At 44.9% G+C, this 19,227-nt stretch overlaps 1 protein-coding gene and 1 long non-coding RNA gene across 7 annotated transcripts in view, besides 6 other annotated features; one reads left to right on the forward strand and one right to left on the reverse strand.

The window, feature by feature from the left end:
- Window positions 3,484–4,027: an enhancer, noted in NCBI's record as "H3K27ac hESC enhancer chr12:98902147-98902690 (GRCh37/hg19 assembly coordinates)". NCBI's record gives its function as "activates a minimal SCP1, AML or CMV promoter by ChIP-STARR-seq in naive H9 embryonic stem cells {active_cell/tissue: H9 hESC(naive)}" and the evidence as "EXISTENCE:reporter gene assay evidence [ECO:0000049][PMID:30033119]".
- Window positions 6,673–7,173: an enhancer, noted in NCBI's record as "H3K27ac hESC enhancer chr12:98905336-98905836 (GRCh37/hg19 assembly coordinates)". NCBI's record gives its function as "activates a minimal SCP1, AML or CMV promoter by ChIP-STARR-seq in primed H9 embryonic stem cells {active_cell/tissue: H9 hESC(primed)}" and the evidence as "EXISTENCE:reporter gene assay evidence [ECO:0000049][PMID:30033119]".
- Window positions 8,088–11,341, reverse strand: TMPO-AS1 (TMPO antisense RNA 1). The gene is made up of 2 exons (NR_027157.1): window positions 11,106–11,341; window positions 8,088–11,012 (listed from the first exon to the last, which is right to left on the reverse strand). It is a non-coding gene; the product is annotated as a TMPO antisense RNA 1 (long non-coding RNA).
- Window positions 10,325–10,404: an enhancer, noted in NCBI's record as "active region_6843". NCBI's record gives its function as "activates an Ori minimal core promoter by ATAC-STARR-seq in GM12878 lymphoblastoid cells {active_cell/tissue: GM12878}" and the evidence as "EXISTENCE:reporter gene assay evidence [ECO:0000049][PMID:35858748]".
- Window positions 10,665–10,854: an enhancer, noted in NCBI's record as "active region_6844". NCBI's record gives its function as "activates an Ori minimal core promoter by ATAC-STARR-seq in GM12878 lymphoblastoid cells {active_cell/tissue: GM12878}" and the evidence as "EXISTENCE:reporter gene assay evidence [ECO:0000049][PMID:35858748]".
- Window positions 10,688–19,227, forward strand: part of TMPO (thymopoietin) — a 34,779-nt gene continuing 26,239 nt past the window's right edge. For 3 of the 6 annotated variants that reach the window (NM_001032283.3, NM_001307975.2, NM_001032284.3), the window contains exon 1: window positions 10,705–11,261. In NM_001032283.3, coding sequence (NP_001027454.1) covers window positions 10,983–11,261 — 279 coding nt within the window. In that variant the 5' untranslated portion in view covers window positions 10,705–10,982. Of the gene's footprint in view, window positions 11,262–11,535; window positions 11,633–19,227 lie in introns of those variants that run through there. The other 3 variants (XM_005269132.5, NM_003276.2, XM_017019914.3) reach the window with 2 other exon arrangements.
- Window positions 11,195–11,464: a silencer, noted in NCBI's record as "silent region_4752". NCBI's record gives its function as "represses an Ori minimal core promoter by ATAC-STARR-seq in GM12878 lymphoblastoid cells {active_cell/tissue: GM12878}" and the evidence as "EXISTENCE:reporter gene assay evidence [ECO:0000049][PMID:35858748]".
- Window positions 13,518–13,577: a silencer, noted in NCBI's record as "silent region_4753". NCBI's record gives its function as "represses an Ori minimal core promoter by ATAC-STARR-seq in GM12878 lymphoblastoid cells {active_cell/tissue: GM12878}" and the evidence as "EXISTENCE:reporter gene assay evidence [ECO:0000049][PMID:35858748]".

Raw genomic sequence — 19,227 nt, forward strand, 5'->3', positions numbered from 1 at the left:
CCTCTTTATAAATACTTTATAATAAAGGTGGAAACAAACAGTTGAAAGAATGTGTGACTGCCAGGCTCAGTGGCTTACACCTGTAATCCTAGCACTTTGGAAGGCCAAAGTGGGTGGATCACGAGGTCAGGAGTTCAAGACCAGCCTGACCAACATGGTGAAACCCCATTTCTACTGAAAATACAAAAATTAGCTGGGCATGGTGGGGTGCACCTGTAATCCCAGCTACTCCGGAGGCTGAGGCAGAAGAATTGATTGAACCCGGGAGGCGGAGGTTGCAGTGAGCCTGGGTGACCAAGCAAGACTCCTTCTGGAGGTGGGTGGCGGGGAGGAATGTGGGAAAAGCTGTTGGACTGGGCGCCTTTTATGTTTTCACCGATTATGCGAGTGATGACTAGTCACCACTTTTGACTATTAATCTCTTTAATAGCAGGAAGCAAAGCTTGCTCGTTCACATTTGCAAGCTCCAGGACTCTTAGTACTAAATAGTGCCCTACACGTAAGTGTCAAATATTTGTTGAACAGAAAATGAATAGCAAGACTATGAGAAATTAATAGTTTTAGATTTTGATGATATGTTTTGTAAAATTCCTGAGGTTTTCTGCTTAGTATTTTGAAAATACCAAACACTAATTTCTTTTGATTCAACCTAATGTAGCAGTATACCTGGAAATTATATTTGCACATGGTGTGGTTTGTTCTTCCCTCTCCTGTTTGGATTAAAATTAGATCATCCATTTCAACGGGTATTTATGGACTGTCAACTCTGATGAGCCTGATACTGTGCTAAGTACTAAGGATGAGGATACACTGAGTAAAAATGGGTTTTTTTGAGCATCAGGAGACAGATATGTTAAGCCACCAAACGCCATAATGTGTTGGGGTAAGTTCATGTTACTTGGTAAGAACCATGAAAGTAACATGAACAGAGTGGTATGGGGGTGCTAAAACAGTGGACAGTAACTCCACATTGGGTTGTATGAGGCTATAACAAGGTGATACAACCTCTCCATCTACATCACAAAAATATGGTTTTGTCCAAATGAGTTAACATGATTGGTCCAAGCTACGATATATGCAGTATATGCAAATGATGCCAGAGGGAAGAAATGGCTTCTGTTATGGGCTGAATTTTTTTTTTTTTTTTTTTTTTGAGATGGAGTCTCACCCTGTCGCCCAAGCTGGAATGCAGTGGCAACCTCCGCCTCCCAGGTTCAAACGATTCAGCCTCCCAAGTAGCTGGGATTACAAGTGCACCCCACTACACCCAGCTATTTTTTTGTTTGTTTGTTTGTTATCTTTAGTAGAGACAAGGTTTCACCATGTTGGCCAGGCTGGTCTTGAACTCCTGACCTCATGATCCACCTGCGTCAGCCTCCCAAAGTGCTGGGATTACAGGCGTGAGCCACCACACCCAGTTTATGGGCTGAATTTCATCTCCCCAACATTCATATGTTGAAGCCCTCACTCCTAGTACCTCAGAATGATCGTAAGACCTGATTAAGTACGCTAGGTGCAGTGGCTCACGCCTGTAATCCCAGCACTTTGGGAGGCCAAGGCAGGTGGATCACAAGATCAGGAGTTGGAGACCAGCCTTGCCAACATGGTGAAACCCTGTCTCTACTGGAAATAGAAAAATTAGCTGGGCGCGGTGGCGGGTGCCTATAATTCCAGCTACTCGGGAGGCTGAGGCAGGAGAATTGCTTGAACCCGGGAGGCAGAGGTTGCAGTGAGCCGAGATCGCACCACTGCACTCTAGCCTAGGTGACAGAGCAAGACTCTCTTTTAAAAAAAAAAAAAAAAAGACATTATTAAGTAAAAATGAGGCCATTAGGGTGGGCCCTAATCCAGTCTGACTGGTGTCATATTTATAAGAGGAAATTTGGACACACAGACACCAAGGATGTGTGCACACAGGGGAAAGGCCATGTGAGGATACAGCAAGAGAGTAGCCATCTACAAGCCAAGGTCTAGGAAGAAGCCAACCCTGCTGGCCTCTTGATCTTAGACTTCTAGCCTCAAGATCTCTGAGAAAATAAATATCTGTTTACTTTTATTATGGTAGCCCTGGCAAACGAATACAGCTTCCGTCAAGAACTACTAGTTCTGCAGAATGGCTGGAGAGGTAAATAGGCGTCAGCATACAGGATCAGTGTGCCATTCCAACTAATTTAGATTTTATTCTGAGGGCAATGCAGAACTATAATTCATGACTAAGACAATCCAGCCAGCTTCACAAAGACTAAAAAATGGCCAAGAACTGTTCCTGGACCACCATCCTGGGAATAAGTTAGAAATGCAAATTTTCAGGCCTCACCTCAGACCTACAGTCTCAGAAAATTGGGTGTGGGGCACAGCAACAAACCTTCCAGCCGTTTTGATGCAAGCTAAAGTTTGAGGACCTCCGGCCTATAAAGCAAGGCAAGACTAGACGTCCTACTTACCCCACAGGTTAAAAGGATCAAATAAGATAAAATACATCAAAATGTTTTTGAAGCTGTTATACATGTCATTATTAATACTGTTATGGCTCTAAAACTGTCACTTCCCAGGTCCCAGATTCTTTCCCAAGGCTGGACATCTGTAGTTTTTTAGAATGCTCCATCTGATGACTTTCTATAACTTTGAAATGACTGCAAATCCAACACTTTTTAACTTAATCTTCTATACTCATGATATAGGGATGATATACGGAAAGAGTTTTATAGGAAAGGTGGAAACAAAGAGCTATCAAGAGCTATGAAGTGTCAGGATTTGAACTGAAACATGGACCTGTCTAGAAAAGACAGCTCTGTGGATTTGTTCTATTTCACTAAGAAATGTCTATTCATGTATTCTTGCAAGAGGACTTATCCACTACTATAGAATGCTCTGAGCATTTATTTCACCTGTTTAATAGCCTTGCTTTCTTTTCTGAGAGTATTTTAGTTACTTAAGTCCTGTGAAAGAAAAATCTCGGTGTTACTGGGGTCCCAATCCAGACCACAAGAGAGGGTTCTTGAACCTCACACAAGAAAGAATTCAAGGCGAGTCCATAAAATGAAAGCAAGTTTATTAGGTAAAGGAATAAAGAATGGCTACTCCATAGGCAGAGCAGCCCAGAGGGCTGCTGATTGCCCATTTTTGTGGTTATTTCTTCATTATATGCTAAACAAGGGGTGGATTATTCATGCCTCCCCTTTTTAGACCATATAGGGTAACCTCCTGACATTGCCATGGCATTTGTAAACTGTCATGGTGCTGGTGGGAGTGTAGCAGTGAGGACAACCAGAGGTCACTCTCATCGCCATCTTGGTTTTGGTGGGTTTTGGCAGGCTACTGCAACCTGTTTCACCAGCAAGGTCTTTATGACCTGTGTCTTTTTTTTTTTTTTTTTTTTTTTTTTTGAGACAGAGTCTCACTCTCGCCCAGGCTGGAGTGCAGTGGTGCAATCTCAGCTCACTGCAACCTCCACCTCCCAGGTTCAAGCAATTCTTCTGCCTCAGCCTCCTGAGTAGCTGGGACTACAGGCACGCGCCACCACGCCCAGCTAATTTTTGTATTTTTAGTAGAGACAGGGTTTCACCATGTTGGTCAGGCTGGTCTCGAACTCCTGACCTCGTGATCCACCTGCCTTGGCCTCCCAAAGTGCTGGGATTACAGGCGTGAGCCACCGTGCCCGGCCTATGACCTGTATCTTCTGCCGACCTCCTATCTCGTCTTGTGACTTAAAATGCCTTAACTGTCTGGGAATGCAGCCCAGTAGGTCTTTTCTTTTTTTTTTTTTTTTTTTTTTGAGACGGAGTTTTGCTCGTTGTCCAGGCTGGACTGCAATGGCGCGATCTTGGCTCACTACAACCTCCGCCTCCCGGGTTCAAGCGATTCTTCTGCCTCAGCCTCCTGAGTAGCTGGGATTACAGGCATGTGCCACCACGCCCAGCTAATTTTGTATTTTTAGTAGAGACAGGGTTTCTCCATGTTGATCAGGCTGGTCTCAAACTCCCGACCTCAGGTGATCCACCCACCTTGGCCTCCCAAAGTGCTGGGATTACAGGCATGGGCCACCGTGCACGGCCTTACCCACCCTTTTTTCAACATGGAGGTGCTGTGATTCAAACCCCTCTAACATCAGGACCCCAAAAATGACTAAGCCAAAGGGAAAGTCAAGCTGGGAACTGCTTAGGGCAAACCTGCCTCCCATTCTACTCCTAAAAAAAAAGATAGCTACTAAGATAAAAAAGCTATATATACCTCCCTCACAATTTGACCACAAAGAAATTCCTTGTGGACAAAGGACAGATAGAGATTTAAAAAGTCATCCCTCTGCTCATATGAGATAAATGCATATCTGATTGCCCTTTTGTTTCCCTAAGCCAGACTAACATAAGTGACTATTCCTGTAAATAGTGTATTCAGTGAAAGGCTAATCAGCAACTCAAAAGAATGCAACCATTGGTCTTTTATCTACCTATGACCTGGAACACCCCGGAGCCCCCCAACCCCCACTTGTATTAATAGCTGTCCCGCCTTTCTGGATGGGACCATTGTACATCTTAAACATATTGATTGATGTCTCATGTCTCCCTAAAATGTATAAAACCAAGCTGTGCCACACAACCTTGGGCACATGTCGTCAGGACCTCCTGAGGCTGTGTCATGGGTGTGTCCTTAACCTTGGCAAAATAAACTTTCTAAATTGATTGAGACCTGTCTCCGATTCTCTTGGTTTACAGAGCGATGTATTCTGGACGAACTAATAAAATTGAGCTTTTGGACACGCAGAATTGAAATGCAGACCTGAATTCTGATAAGCCAAATGGTTCTCCAACTTAGCACTCTCACTTAAAAAGAAAAATATGGTTTTAAAATCATATGTGTTCATTGTGGAAATCTAGGGAAATACAGACATATAAATAAAAAGAAAATAAGAATCACCTGTGCCTCACTATCCAAGAGAAAGTACTCCACTTTGATGTATATTATTTTTTTTCTTTTCTTTTCTTTTTTTTTTTTTTTTTTTTGCCTCCCCAATAGCTGGGAGTACAGGAGCACACCAGCATGCCAGCTAATTTTTTTTTTTTCTTTTTTTTTGAGACTGAGTTCCGCTCTTGCCCAGGCTGGAGTGCAATGGCGAGATCTTGGCTCACTGCAACCTCCGCCTCCCAGGTTCAGGTGATTCTTCTGCCTCAGCCTCCCAAGTAGCTGGGGATTACAGGTGCCCACCACCACACCTGGATAATTACTGTATTTTTAGTAGAGACAGGGTTTCGCCACGTTGGCCAGGCTGGTCTTGAACCCCTGACCTTGGGTGATCCGCCCGCCTCGGCCTCCCAAAGTGCTGGGATTACAGACGTGAGCCACCGTGCCCGGCCCCACCTAATTTTTGGTTATTTTTAGTAGAGACTGGGGTCTCCCTATGTTGCCCAGGCTGGTCTCAAACTCCTGAGCTCAAGGGATCCTCCCACCTCAGCCTTCCAAAGTACTGGGATTATAGGTGACAGCCACCAAGCCAGCCTCATATTCTTAAATGTCAAAACATGATTTTTTACTACTGTGCATTATTTTGTCATATGGATATATCATAAACAACCAATTCCTTACTATTGGAGATAGAGATTTTTTATTTTTTTCACCATTATAAATGAAGCAATAAATACCTTTATAAATGAATTCCACATTTGATTTTATCTTTAGAATAAATTATCAGAAATGGCTTAAGGGAGCTAAACTTTTTTTTTTTTTGAGAGACCGAGTCTCGTTCTGTTGCCCAGGCTGGAGTGCAATGGTGCCATCTCAGCTCACTGCAACCTCCGCCTCCCGGGTTCAAGGGATTCTCCCACCTCAGCCTCCCAAGTAGCTGGGATTACAGGCGCATGCCACCAGGCACGGCTAACTTTTGTATTTTCAGTAGAGAGGGGCTTCCACCATGTTGGTCAGGCTGGTCTCGAACTCCTGATGTGATCTGCCCGCCTTGGCCTCCCCAAGTGCTGGGATTACCGGTGTGAGCCACCGCTCCTGGCCCCTCTTATTATTTTTTTTTAAGATGGAGTCTTGATCGGTCGCCCAGGCTGGAGTGCAGTGGCACGATCTCGGCTCACTGCAACCTCTGCCTCCCGGGTTCAAGCGATTCTCCTACCTCAGCCTCCCTAGTAGCTGAGATTACAGGCGCCCACCACAAGGCCCAGCTAATTTTTTAATTTCTTGGCCAGGCTGAGCTCGAACTCATGACTTCAAGTGATCCGCCCACCCCAGCCTCCCAAAGTGCTGGAATTACAGGCATGAGCCACGACGCCCGGCCGAGAACTAAACATTTTTTAAGGTTTTTAGCTTCTTACTATTTTACATCACTTAAAGTGCAACTTACCCTCCTGTTTGAGGTGACACCCTTAAATTCACAACCAATCCTCCGCAAAATGGGATAATGAAAAACAAAGCCAGCTGTATGTTAATAATATTAAGAACTTCAAAAAAAGAATGGAGGCAGTTATCCAGGTGATTTTTGTTTGTTTGTTTGTTTTGAGATGGAGTTTCGCTCGTGTTGCCCAGGCTGGAATGCAATTGCACGATCTCGGTTCACCACAACCTCCGCCTCCCGGGTTCAAGTGATTCTCCTGCCTCAGCCTCCCGTGTAGCTTGGATTACAGGCATGCGCCACCACGCCAGGCTAATTTTGTATTTTTAGTAGAGACGGGGTTTCTCCACATGGTCTCAAATTCCCGACCTCAGGTGATCTGCCTGCCTCAGCCTCCCAAAGTGCTGGGATTACAGGCGTGAGCCACCGGGCCCACCTCCAGATGATTTTTTTTTAAGTTATGGGAAAGTTTTCTGATTTAAAAAAAAAAAAAATTGCATCAGGCCAGACGCAGTGGCTCATGCCTGTAATCCCAGCAATTTGGGAGGCTGAGGCGGGTGGATTGCCTGAGGTCAGGAGTTTGAGACCAGCCTGGTCAACATGGTGAAACTCTTGTCTCTACTATATTACAAAAAAATTAGCTGGGCGTGGCAGCAGGCGCCTGTAATCCCAGCTACTTGGGAGGCTGAGGCAGAAGAATTGCTTGAACCTGGGAGGCAGAGGTTACAGTGGGCTGAGATTGTGCTACTGCACTCCAGGCTCGGCAACAGAGGGAGACTCCATTTCCAAAAAAAAAAAAAAAAAAATTTGCATCCACCAGGCACAGTGGCTCATGCCTGTAATCCCAGAACTTTGGGAGGCTGAGGCGGGTGGATCACCTGAGGTCAGGAGTTCAAGACCAGCCTGGTCAACATGGTGAAACCCAGTCTCTACTAAAATACAAACAAATTAGATGAGTGTATTAGCAGGCGCCTGTAGTCCCAGCTACTCTGGAGGCTGGGGCAAGGAGAATTGCTTGAACCTGGGAGGCGGAGGTTGCAGTGAGCCGAGACTACGTCACTGCACTCCAGCCTAGTCTCTGTTGGACATTCTGACCACAGTCAGAATATTAAGACTTCTAAAAACTCTCATTTCCCTGTGAAATTTTCTGAATTAAAATTACTTTTATCTACCAATGACCTGGAACACCCCGAGCCCCCCAACCCCCACTTTTATTAATAGTTGTCCCGCCTTTCTGGAAGGGACCAATCTACATCTTACACATATTGATTTTAGAGACAGGGTCTCACTCTGTCACCCAGGCTGGAATGCAGTGACAGGATTATGGCTCACTGCAGCCTCAACCTCCCAGGCTCAAGTGATCCTCCCACCTCAGTCTCCCTAGTAGCTAGAACTACAGGTGGGCACCATGGCTAAATTTTGTATTTTTTTGTAGAGAGGGGGTTTTACTGTTTTGCCCAGGCTAGTCTTGAACTCCTAAGCTCAAGGGATCCGCCTGTCTCAGCCTCCCAAAGTGTTGGGATTACAGGCGTGAGCCACAGTGCTCAGCCTTTGTGTTTTTTGTGTCACATTGATCAAATATTTTAAAAATTATCTTTTATGTTGAAACAAGTATTAAGGAGATGATGGAAAGAGTCAATTCCTTGAGAAGGGTGAGAGCCAGAGTACAAGTGGTGGAATTTCCTTCTGACAGGACACATCTTTCACTGAAAAGAAAAATGCAAGAGAAAATGAATGCAAATTGGAAAGTCTGACGTTGAAGCATTCCTCATAGGTGGTTTTTATTTTTTGAAGTTGAGGCAAGGTCACCAGCTAAAAATGAGAGGTAGGGAAAAAGGATGTGAAATTTGAGGAGATGTGAACGTATGAATGGTTAACCCAGAGACTGGAATAGCATTGCCAGCCAGTGTTGAGTGCTCCTGAGAGGACTGAGGTCATGAATTAAAACCAGTTAGCTTGTTATATGACTGACTTTTCTCCAGCAGCTTTTGCTGTTTGGATGTAAGCAATGAGAAAGTTCAGCTGGAGCATGGTTTAGTCCAAGCAAGGCTGAGATTCTTTCAAGCAAAAAAGGAGACATTGAGATCAGAGAGTTGAAAATGTTTGTAAAAGAGTGATGAAAAGGACTGATCAGGGAATTTAAGTCAGGTGAGTTGCAAAATTATTACATGATGGCAGAAGCAGAAGAGTTGAGTTTTTTTAAGTGTTGGGGTTAATAGCGTGGAGGTCTTAATTAGGTAAGTGAGAGTACCATAAATTAGCTGGGAAAAAAAGGCTAGTGATTGACAATTGGGAAGCTTGAAACTGAGATTTCAACTGATGACAAGGTTCAGAATCTGACTGATACCGAAGTGGTTAAGACGCAAGAGAGGAACAAATTGTTGGAGATGAAGAGGTCAGAGGTCTAAGAGGCCAAGTGTTGGTGTTGCATGGGTCACCTACAAGCATGCTGAATTCAGATAGAATGTAGACAAGAGGGATGGTGAGGAAAACCTACGGCAAGCAGCTCTATAATTTCTGGAAAGTGACCAGGAGGCTCGTGGATGATGGCAGGAAGGAGAGTAGAAAGTGATTTAGCCAGAAGATATGAACTTCAAATATTTTTGAAGCAGAAAAGAGCAGAAATGGTTTGGAAGTAGCAATCAGGACCAAAGAGACCACCCAAACTCAATAGCCCAACCTCTTAGCCTTAGGGTACGCAGAATCTGAAAAGTGTAATCTCAATTTTGGAGCTCTACAGCAGTAAATCTGCAAGTAACCACCTGTAGCTAATGTCCAGGGATTAAAAAAAAGATAATGAAAATGTTTTTGCCCAGGAAACATTAATTTCAGGCGTATCTAGAATGCAGTTCTTGCATTATACGTACTGGGTTACCAGTCATTGCAAAGTCATGGTCCTTTGCCTCTCAGCTCAGTTCCCCTTCTGAAGATAAAAACATTTGCCTATGTGTCCAGGGAAGCTGTGAGGACAAAAAACCAAGCAACTTTTACAAGGGATCATAAAAACCTACCTAACAACTTGCTAATTAAAACCTGATTTTTAATTTGCATTATTGAGCTTAATACCATTGCTTAAATGTATGTGAATACTGAGATTTTTATAAAGGAATTAGTTACCTCTAGGAAAATAATTATCACTAAAAGAAATAATATCGCAATTTGAATAAAAGTAAGTCGCTTAAATCATAGGAAACATTTTTAGTGAAGGCGTTTGTTTTAAATGTATTCTAACCTAGCAATGTAGAAAGCAGGCAAACATTTAAAAAAAATTTAACCAGTTTCTAAAACATAGTTTGGAGCTCAGATTCTGGGGAAATGATTAACACACCCTACATCCAAGGTCTCCTTTCCTTTCTAGAAAGAAAGCATCTTTAAACATACATATTCATCAGAAATACAAATATTTGTCATCAGTGATACTAATTTCCAGGCAAACATTTTAATTGCAGTCAATGTATTAGATTCTACCAGGTTTTAATTTGGATCGGTAATACGGGTTTGATTAGGGTTCTAGGCCTAATTATAGGTCACTAGTCTTCCTTTAGGATTATGCACCATCTGTTATTTTAAATTGACCATTGAGGGGGTTCCCAAGGGTTCTCCTTCGTTTTGTTATCAAACGTTAGGTTTAGGATTCTTGCGGGTGGTGGGATCCAAAGCCAGAGACGGTTTCAACAAAAATGCAAGCGCGAATTTGTCTTGCGTCTGAACGCACTGTTCAAATTAAACAATTTAGACATGCCCCAACTATGACACTAAGAAGTGAATGGTATAGTACACTTTTGTCACAAATTCAAGGGTAATTTAAGTGCCCGATTGTAGAGGTCTGGCTTCCCCTGGGTTTCTGGAACAAAAGAAGCGTTCGCGAGGAGAGGGGTAACTCCCCGCCCTCCCCCTCCCAAAGTAAATCAAATCAAGGAATATGAGTGCCTGCAGACAAGCCTCGCTTCTTTTCTTCCCCTTCAGGGCTAGCGTTTGGGGAAGGCAAGGCTGCGGCTACTCTTGGAGCTTCAGTGTCCCGGGAGGAAGAAAGGCCCAGCCAAGGGTCCTCACACTGGCGTGGAATTCGGCGCGTTCGTAGGCGATCGACCCCAGAGACGAAAGCTGCTTCTCAAGCTGGGGGAGGGAGAGGAAACGGCGCACAAAAGCAGTACGACCTGTCCCTTATCGGCGTCTAAGGGGAAGGGTGGAGAAAACGAAAACAGAAGCGGGCCGGGAGCCTCGGCTCCCGCCCCAGCGCCTTTTAAACTGCGTTTCTACCTCCTCTCGCTCAGCGCGGCGGCTAATGGAACCCGCGCGAGCCGTCTCGCCAATCACCGCCGCGCTTCCTCCCGTCGCCCGCCAATGGCGGCGCGCGTTCTTGGGGCGTGGGCGAAGCAGGCTGCTCGCCTCCTGCCTGTAGTGTGTGGGCTGGGGTTGGTGCGAGCTTCCAGCTTGGCCGCAGTTGGTTCGTAGTTCGGCTCTGGGGTCTTTTGTGTCCGGGTCTGGCTTGGCTTTGTGTCCGCGAGTTTTTGTTCCGCTCCGCAGCGCTCTTCCCGGGCAGGAGCCGTGAGGCTCGGAGGCGGCAGCGCGGTCCCCGGCCAGGAGCAAGCGCGCCGGCGTGAGCGGCGGCGGCAAAGGCTGTGGGGAGGGGGCTTCGCAGATCCCCGAGATGCCGGAGTTCCTGGAAGACCCCTCGGTCCTGACAAAAGACAAGTTGAAGAGTGAGTTGGTCGCCAACAATGTGACGCTGCCGGCCGGGGAGCAGCGCAAAGACGTGTACGTCCAGCTCTACCTGCAGCACCTCACGGCTCGCAACCGGCCGCCGCTCCCCGCCGGCACCAACAGCAAGGGGCCCCCGGACTTCTCCAGTGACGAAGAGCGCGAGCCCACCCCGGTCCTCGGCTCTGGGGCCGCCGCCGCGGGCCGGAGCCGAGCAGCCGTCGGCAGGGTAAGGACGCGGGGCCGGGGCTACAAAGGCGGGCGTTTGGCGGTTGCCGCGCGCGCTCGCCGCCGTTTGCAGCCCCTCCCTCCCGGGCGCCCCCTCGGGCCTCCCAGGTGCGGGGCTGTCCCTGCGCCCCCTCGCGTCGCCCCTTCCCCGCGGGGCTGCAGGCGCCGGAGCGGAGAGGCCAGAAGTTGGGGCCGCGGGGTTCGCGTTCTTTGACGTGTGGGTCTGGGAGGTGTGGAGTTGCGTTGGCGGCGGTTGTTTTGCACGCAGTCGACGCCGCTTCCCTGGACCACCAGCCGCCTGCAGCGGGCGTTTAGACGGGGACTTCCGTGCCCTTTCGAAAGCTCTGGAGGGGTGGCCCCAAAATGCTATAGGTTAAGTTCGAGCGTTTTCCCGCTTTATTAACTGAAATGACTCGCAGCAGAGTCTCAGAGCGCTCCCTGGAGGGCAACTGATGACACTCTAATTTCTAACCAAAATTTGAAATGAGGAAATTCCCGCCTTTTTATACTTTTGCGTGTGGAGGGCTTTTTGAACCGTTTATGTTTTCTAGTTTGTTTTAATTTTTCCCAGCAACAGGCCATCTTTTGGCGGAACAGGTTCATGCCGAATTAAAAGGAGCATTTTAAACTATATTTTTAGGCGCCTATTATAATTTTTTAGTTTTTATTTATTTATTTTTTTAGATGGAGTGTCGCACTTGTTGCCCAGGCTGGAGTGCAATGGCGAGATCTCGGCTCACCGCAACCTCCACCTCCCGGGTTCAAGCGATTCTCCTGCCTCAGCCTCCCGAGTAGCTGGGATTACAGGCATGCGCCGCCACGCCCGGCTGATTTGTGTATTTTTTAGTAGAGACGGGGTTTCTCCAAGTTGGTCAGGCTGGTCTCGAACTCCTGACCTCAGGTGGTCCTCCCGCCTCGGCCTCACAAAGTGCTGGGATAACAGGCGTGAGCCACCGGGCCCGGCCCTGCAAACAAATATTTGAAAATTGCAGTTTGGATTGCGTTTTCCCCACATATTGGTAAATTTTGCTTGAGGAAACGAAAGACTTAGGATTCAGGAAAAATTTATTTCATGACATTCTGGTGCATCAGTATTGCAATTTGGAATGTCTGATCCTGGTTAAATCTCAAATCGGCTCCAGCAAAGCATGTTTTGTTTCAGAATAGTTTGCTTTTTTACCTGTGGATTTTAATATGCTTTTTGTGGGTTTGCTTATGCCTGCCGAGTTACCAGGCTTCAAATCGTAATAGGATGAAGCTAAAACTAGTAATTGGTGTAACATAAAATGCCTTGTAAGAGACAGTGAATGTGGTGTTTGGAGTTGTTGGGAATGATCACTAGTTTAAACCGAAATTATTCCTTCCTTCAAATTTTACTTTAGTTTTTAAGGAACCTGTCTAATGTGTTTTCCCGGCTACTCAGGCAGAAATGAAAGACAAATGTAATAGACACATGTAAATTTAATTGAAAATCTTATTCTCGGCTTCAGAGAAGTTGAAAGTTTTACCAAACGTCTTCAGTCCGGTGTCTGGCACATAGTAGTGCCAAATATTTGTACAATAAATAAAAGACCAATCACACCTTATTGTTTAAACATCTTGTTTTGCGGAAAGCTTCTTTAATTTCTTAATAAACAAATTTACTTTTGAAATAAAAGCGTACCCGCTTACCCGTTATGTTTCCCTGCTCTGAAAAAGAAGGTAGTATTTAAACTCTTTAAGTAGAGTTGGTTGAGGCCGGGCGCGGTGGCTCACGCCTGTAAGCCCCGCACTTTGGGAGGCCCAGGCGGGTGGATCACCTGAGGTCAGGAGTTCTAGACCAGCCTGGCCCATATGGTGAAACCCCGTTTCTACTAAAGAAAAAAAATACAAAAATTAGCCGTGCCTGGTGGCGGCGGCCGAGGCAGGAGAATCGCTTGAACCCGGGAGGCGGAGGTTGCAGTGAGCCGAGATCGCGCCATCGCACTCCAGCCTGGGGGACAAGAGCGAGACTTCGTCTCAAAAAAAAAAAAAAAAAAAAGTTGTTTGAAAATAATATTTAAATCAGCACACTTTATAAAAAACCTAATTTTCTATAGAACCCTTCATTGGTCCTCTGTGCAAAAGTATTAAACCGTGAAGTTTTTGGTTGTATGTTTATAATAGAATTACTGGTTATTATTTTTAGGCGGGATCTCGCTTTGTTGCCCAGGCCGGAGTGCAGGGATGTGATCATAGCTTACTGCAGCCTCAAACTCTTTGGCTCACGAGAGCCTCCTGCCTCAGCTTCCCTGAGTAGCAAGGGCAACGGGGCATGCACCGCTACACCCGGCTAATTTTCTAATCTTTTTTTTTTTTTTTTTTTTTTTTGGTACACAGGCTTTCTGTGTTGTCCAGGCTGGTCTAGAACTCTTGGCCTCAAGCAATCCTGCCTCAGCCTTGGTTCCTATTTATTTTGAGGATGATTTCTTTTACACAGAAACAACCATCTCAGTTTTAATGTTTTCCTATCAGCCACTTGGTAAAAGAGAGTTTATGTCCCCATCTACCTTGTGTTCTTTTGGGGGGTAAGAAGACCTAAATGTAAAAATTTTTTAATTAAGATTATCCAGCAATTTTGAGTTCCTACCAAGTGTTCTTAACTACTGGGTTTAAAACTTTGGGGATTTAAAAATGAATTGTGTTTATTTACTTGTCTGTCCAACTCATATGTTAATTGAAGTTGGTTAGCATCATGTAAATAAGTTTTGAGTAAAATGAAGGGTTTTTTTTTTTTGAGACGAGTCTTGCTCTGTCGCCCAGTCTGGGGTGCGGTGGCGCGATCTTGGCTCACTGCAAGCTCTGCCTCGTGGGTTCATGCCATTTTCCTGCCTCCGCCTCCCGAGTAGCTGGGACTACAGGCGCCCGCCACCACCCCCCAGCTAATTTTTTGTATTTTTAGTAGAGATGGGGTTTCACCGTGTTAGCCAGGATGGCCTCGATCTCCTGACCTCGTGATCCTCCCGTCTCGGCTTCTCAAAGTGCTGGGATTACAGGCGTGAGCCACCGCGCCCAGCCAAAATGAAGTAATTTTTGTTGTTGTTATTTTGTTTTGTTTGTTTTGTTCTGAGACGGAGTCTCCATTGCCCAGGTTGGAGTGCAATGGCCCGATTTCATCTCTGCCTCCTGGGTTCAAATGATTCTCCTGCCTCGACCTCCCGAGTAGCTGGGATTACAGGCGTATACTACTATACCCGGCTAATTTTTGTATTTTTAGTAGAGAAGGGGTTTCGCCATGTTGGCCAGGCTGGTCTGGAACACCTGACCTCAGGTGATCTGTCCCCCTGGGCTTTCCAAAGTGCTGGGAATGCAAGGATGAGCGACGGCACCCAGCCCAGAAGTCATGTTTTTTAGAGTACCTAGTAGGTCTATTGGCATGGTAATTAAGCTCTTTACGTTTCATTTAATTATTTCATCCATATAAAGAAAACTTACTTCATAATTACAGGTTTAAATGTCTTCTACCTGGAGTATTTAAAACTCAAGAGGTGTTTACCCTTGACTGAGCTTAATAGCCATGCCAACAACTTGAAGAAAAATATTGGTAGTCAGCGTCATTTTCTGTTTTAAAGTACGTTAAGTACAAGTGAGTTATAATTAGGAGTCTGTTCGATGTTTTTATCAGCCATAGGAAAAAATAATTTTAAGTTTACAGGAAAAGAAATTTATAATAATTTATGTGTAAAATTATTCATGTCAATTCCTCTTATATGTACTATATTTTACGTTTTGGTCATTTTTAGCCCCATATAAAAATAATACCAGGTCATATTTCTTTTTTTTTCTTTCTTTCTTTTTTTCTTTTTCTTTTTTTGAGATGGAGTCTTGCTCTGTCACGCAGCCTAGAGTGCAGTGGCGTGATGTCAGCTCACTGCAACCTCTGCCTCCCGGGTTCAAGCGATTCTCCTGCCTCAGCCTCCCAAGTAGCTGGGATTACAGGTGCCCACCACTGCGCCCGGCTAATTTTTGTATTTTTAGTGGAGACGGGGTTTCACCATCTTGGCCAGGCTGGTCTCAAACTCCTGACCTCAGTTGATCCACCCGCCTGAGCCTCCCAAAGTGCTGGGATTACAGGCATGAGCCACCGCGCCCGGCCAACCATATTTTTCCCTTCCTTCCTTCCTTCCTTCCTTCCTTCCTTCCTTCTGTGTGTGTGAGAGATGGAGTCTCACTCTGTCACCCAGGCTGGAGTGCAGTGGCATGATCTCGGCTCACTGCAACCTCTGCCTCCCAAATTCAAGCAATTCTCCTACCTCAGCCTCCTGAGTAGCTGGTATTACTTACAGGCACACACCACTACTCCTGGTTAATTTTTGTATTTTTAGTAGAGACAAGGTTTCACCATGTTGGTCAGGCTGGTCTCGAACTCCTGACCTCGTGATCCACCTGCCTCGGCCTCCCAAAGTGCTGGAATTACAGGAGTGAGCCACCTCACCCGGCCAATACCAGGTCTTATTTCTTTTTTCCTTTTTTTTTTTGAAACGGAGTCTCAGTCTGTCATCCCAGCTGGAGTGCAGTGGTGCAATCTCGGCTCCCTGCAAGCTCTGCCTAGCTGAGACTACAGGTGCCCGCCACCACGCCTGGCTAATTTTATGTATTTTTAGTAAAGACTGTTAGCCAGGATGGTCTCTATCTCCTGATCTGGTGATCTGCCCGCCTCGGCCTCCCAGAGTTCTGGAATTACAGGCATGAGCCACCGCTCCCGGCCTCCAGGTCATATTTCTTAAAGAATATTTATAATCTTCTGCATAATGGAGTGGTAAAAAGGAATAAAAGAATATTTATTTATATTATAGGAGAAAGCCAAATTATGTTTGAGAGTTGCAGATAAGGGAGATTTTTAACATTTTAAGACAAATCAAGCATTAATGTGGATTTGGCCAAGATTAACTATTTGCATGCATATACCTTCTATTTAATCATGGGTTTATGAGGAATTTTTTTTTTTTTTTTTTTTTTTTTGAGACGGAGTGTCGCTCTGTCACCCAGGCTGGACTGCAGTGGCGTGATCTCCACTCACTGCAAGCTCTGCCTCCTGGGTTCACGCCATTCTCCTGCCTCAGCCTCCCGATTAGCTGGGGCTACGTGGTGGCACCTGCCACCACCCCCGGCTAATTTTTTTGTATTTTTAGTAGAGACGGAGTTTCACTGTGTTAGCCAGGATGGTCTGGATCTCCTGATCTTCTGATCCTCCCGCCTCAGCCTCCCAGAGTGCTGGGATTACAGACGTGAGCCACCGTGCCCAGCCTATGGGGAACATTTTTAATTAAATAAGAAATTGTTTCATTTCAGCTTCTACCATAGTCTCTTGGATTCACTTGGTATAATGTGACAAAACTTTGCATGTTAAAAGTTTTGTTTTTATTTTGTTTTCTTATTTCTAAGCTTTTTATTTTATGTATCTTGCTACCAATATTTTTAGGTGTTGAAACTACCTAGATTGTGGACACAAAAATAAACATTTACAGAGTTGGCAGTCTGCCTTTTTGTTTTAAGAGGCAGAGCCTGAAGGTGTAGCTATTTGGATCTAGTGGAGCATAATATTCTTGAATGATCTGTTCTGGTGAATTATGAGTGTGTGTTTGAGAAGGAGTCTTGCGCTGTCATCCAGGCTGGAGTGCAGTGGCGCGATCTCGGCTCACTGCAACCTCCACCTCCCGGGTTCAAGTGATTCTCCTGCCTCAGCCTCCTGAGGAGCTGGGATTACAAGCGTGCACCACCATGCCCAGCTAATTTTTTTATTTTTAGTAGAGACAGTTTCACCATGTTGGTCAGGCCGGTCTCAAACTCCTTCCTGACTTTGTGATCTGCCCCCCTTAGCCTCCTAAAGTACTGGGATTACAGGCGTGAGCCACCACGCCTGTCTGTGTGTTTGTTTGTTTTTTTAAGAGATAGGGTCTCGCTCTGTCCCTCAGACTGTAGTGCAGTGGTATGATCATAGCTCACTGCAGCCTCAAACTCCTGGGCTCAAGCCTCTGGAATAGCTGGGACTACAGGTGTGTGCCACCATGCCTAGCTGATTTTTAAAATTTTTATAGAGATAGTCTCACTATGTTGACCAGGCTGGTCTTGAATTCCTGGCCTCAAGGGATCCTCCTGCTTAGGCCTCCCAAAGCGTTGGGATTGTAGGTGTGAGCTGCTGCTCCTGGCCAAATTATGAATTCTCAATAGGAAATATTTGAAGACCTGGAAAAGAACATAAAAGCATGCTACCAATAGGAAATGTTAATTAAATCACAAATTTACCACCACTGTATAATAAGGTGTTAAGTTTACAGACTTGTGAATAATAGAGTTATAGATTCAAATTCCAGGTCTGCCACTTATTCATATGACACTGAACAGTGTCTTAATCTAAGATCCTCTATTTTCACCTGAAATAGAGGAATAACCTAATAGCTACTTAATCAGATTGAGGAGTACATGCCATTGCATATGTGAAGTGTCTAGTGCTTAGTAATTAATAGCCATTAAATGATTTCTGAATTTTTGTCTTTAATGTCAGGGCAATATAGTGCAATGTTACTAAAATATAATTTTGGGAAACGAATAAGGTAGATAAGTGAAAGTGACATGTATATCATAGCATGCAGATTTCCTGAGTTAGTGAAGAGCATGCTTGAACCTCAGTTTTCTGAGTTGTCAGATGGGGATATTAGCATTTTATTCCATAGATTTTTAGGACTCTGTAAGTTAATGCAAAGACACTTGGAACACAACTCAGTACGTAATACATAATAAGTGCCCACTAGAATATATTGTTATGGTTCAACATCTTTATACTAGAGGTAGAGATTAAAGGAATTAGAGAAGCTCATCGGTGATATCATAGAGCTGTTGGGTTTTGAAGTTGAAAAATACGTTAGAGATCATCGGGTAGCATAGTAGGTACTATTTTTGAGTGAAACTCTTAAGTGATCTACTTAAAGGAACAAAGCTTTCTGGAGGCAGAATTTAATGCAACTGATGCTTCCTTTTTCCTGACTGAAACTGCTAATCATGTACAGCACACTGTCTCCTAATTTTTTATCCTTATTAAATCTGAGATTTATAAAATGACATCACTTTTCTGGAACTTTTTTCCTGACAGATTAAAAACCACATGTTTGACTGTGTGCAGTGGCTCACACCTGTAATCCCAGCACTTTGGGAGGCCGAGGCAGGTGGATCACCTGAGGTCAGGAATTCGAGACCAGCCTGGCCAACATGGTGAAATCCTGTCTCTTCTAAAAATACAAAAATTAGTTAGTCGGGTATGGTGTTGCGCGCTTGTAATTTCAGCTGCTTGGGAGGCTGAGGCAGGAGAATCTCTTGAACCTGGGAGATGGAGGGCATGCCACTGCACTCTAGCCTGGGCAACAGAGTGAGACTCCATCTCAAAAAAAAAAAAATCACGTTTTTGGTTTTAATTTATCTGACTTACCTTATGTAGATTTGTTGGTCACTTATTTAAGATATCTTTGTTCAGCTGATGTTTTTCATTATGTTTGAAGGAAATATAATTGATTTTCTTTCTTTCTTTTTTTTCTTTAGGCGAAGTCTGGCCTTATCACCCAGGCTGGAGTGCAGTGGCGCAATCTTGGCTCGCTGCAATCTCCGCCTCCCCAATTCAAGTGATTCTCCAGCCTCAGCCTGCCGAGTAGCTAGGACTATAGGCGTGTGCCATCACACCTGGCTAATTTTTGTATTTTTAGTAGAGATGGGGTTTCACCGTGTTGGCCAGGCTGGTCTCAAACTCCTGACCTCAACGGGAGATCCTCCCTCCTCGGCCTCCCAAAGTGCTAGAATTACAGACATGAGCCACTGCCGAGAATTGGTTTTTACTTAGATTTGATAGGCCTGTTATTTCTAATAAGAAATGGATTTTCAAAAATAAATTACTTTTTCCTTCCCCAGATTTGACAAAACATTTATCAGGGGGCTATTCCTGTATCAGTCTTTTTAGAAAT

The sequence above is a fragment of the Homo sapiens genome, chromosome 12 (assembly GCF_000001405.40).
Source record: "Homo sapiens chromosome 12, GRCh38.p14 Primary Assembly".
Taxonomy (NCBI): Eukaryota; Metazoa; Chordata; class Mammalia; order Primates; family Hominidae; genus Homo; species Homo sapiens.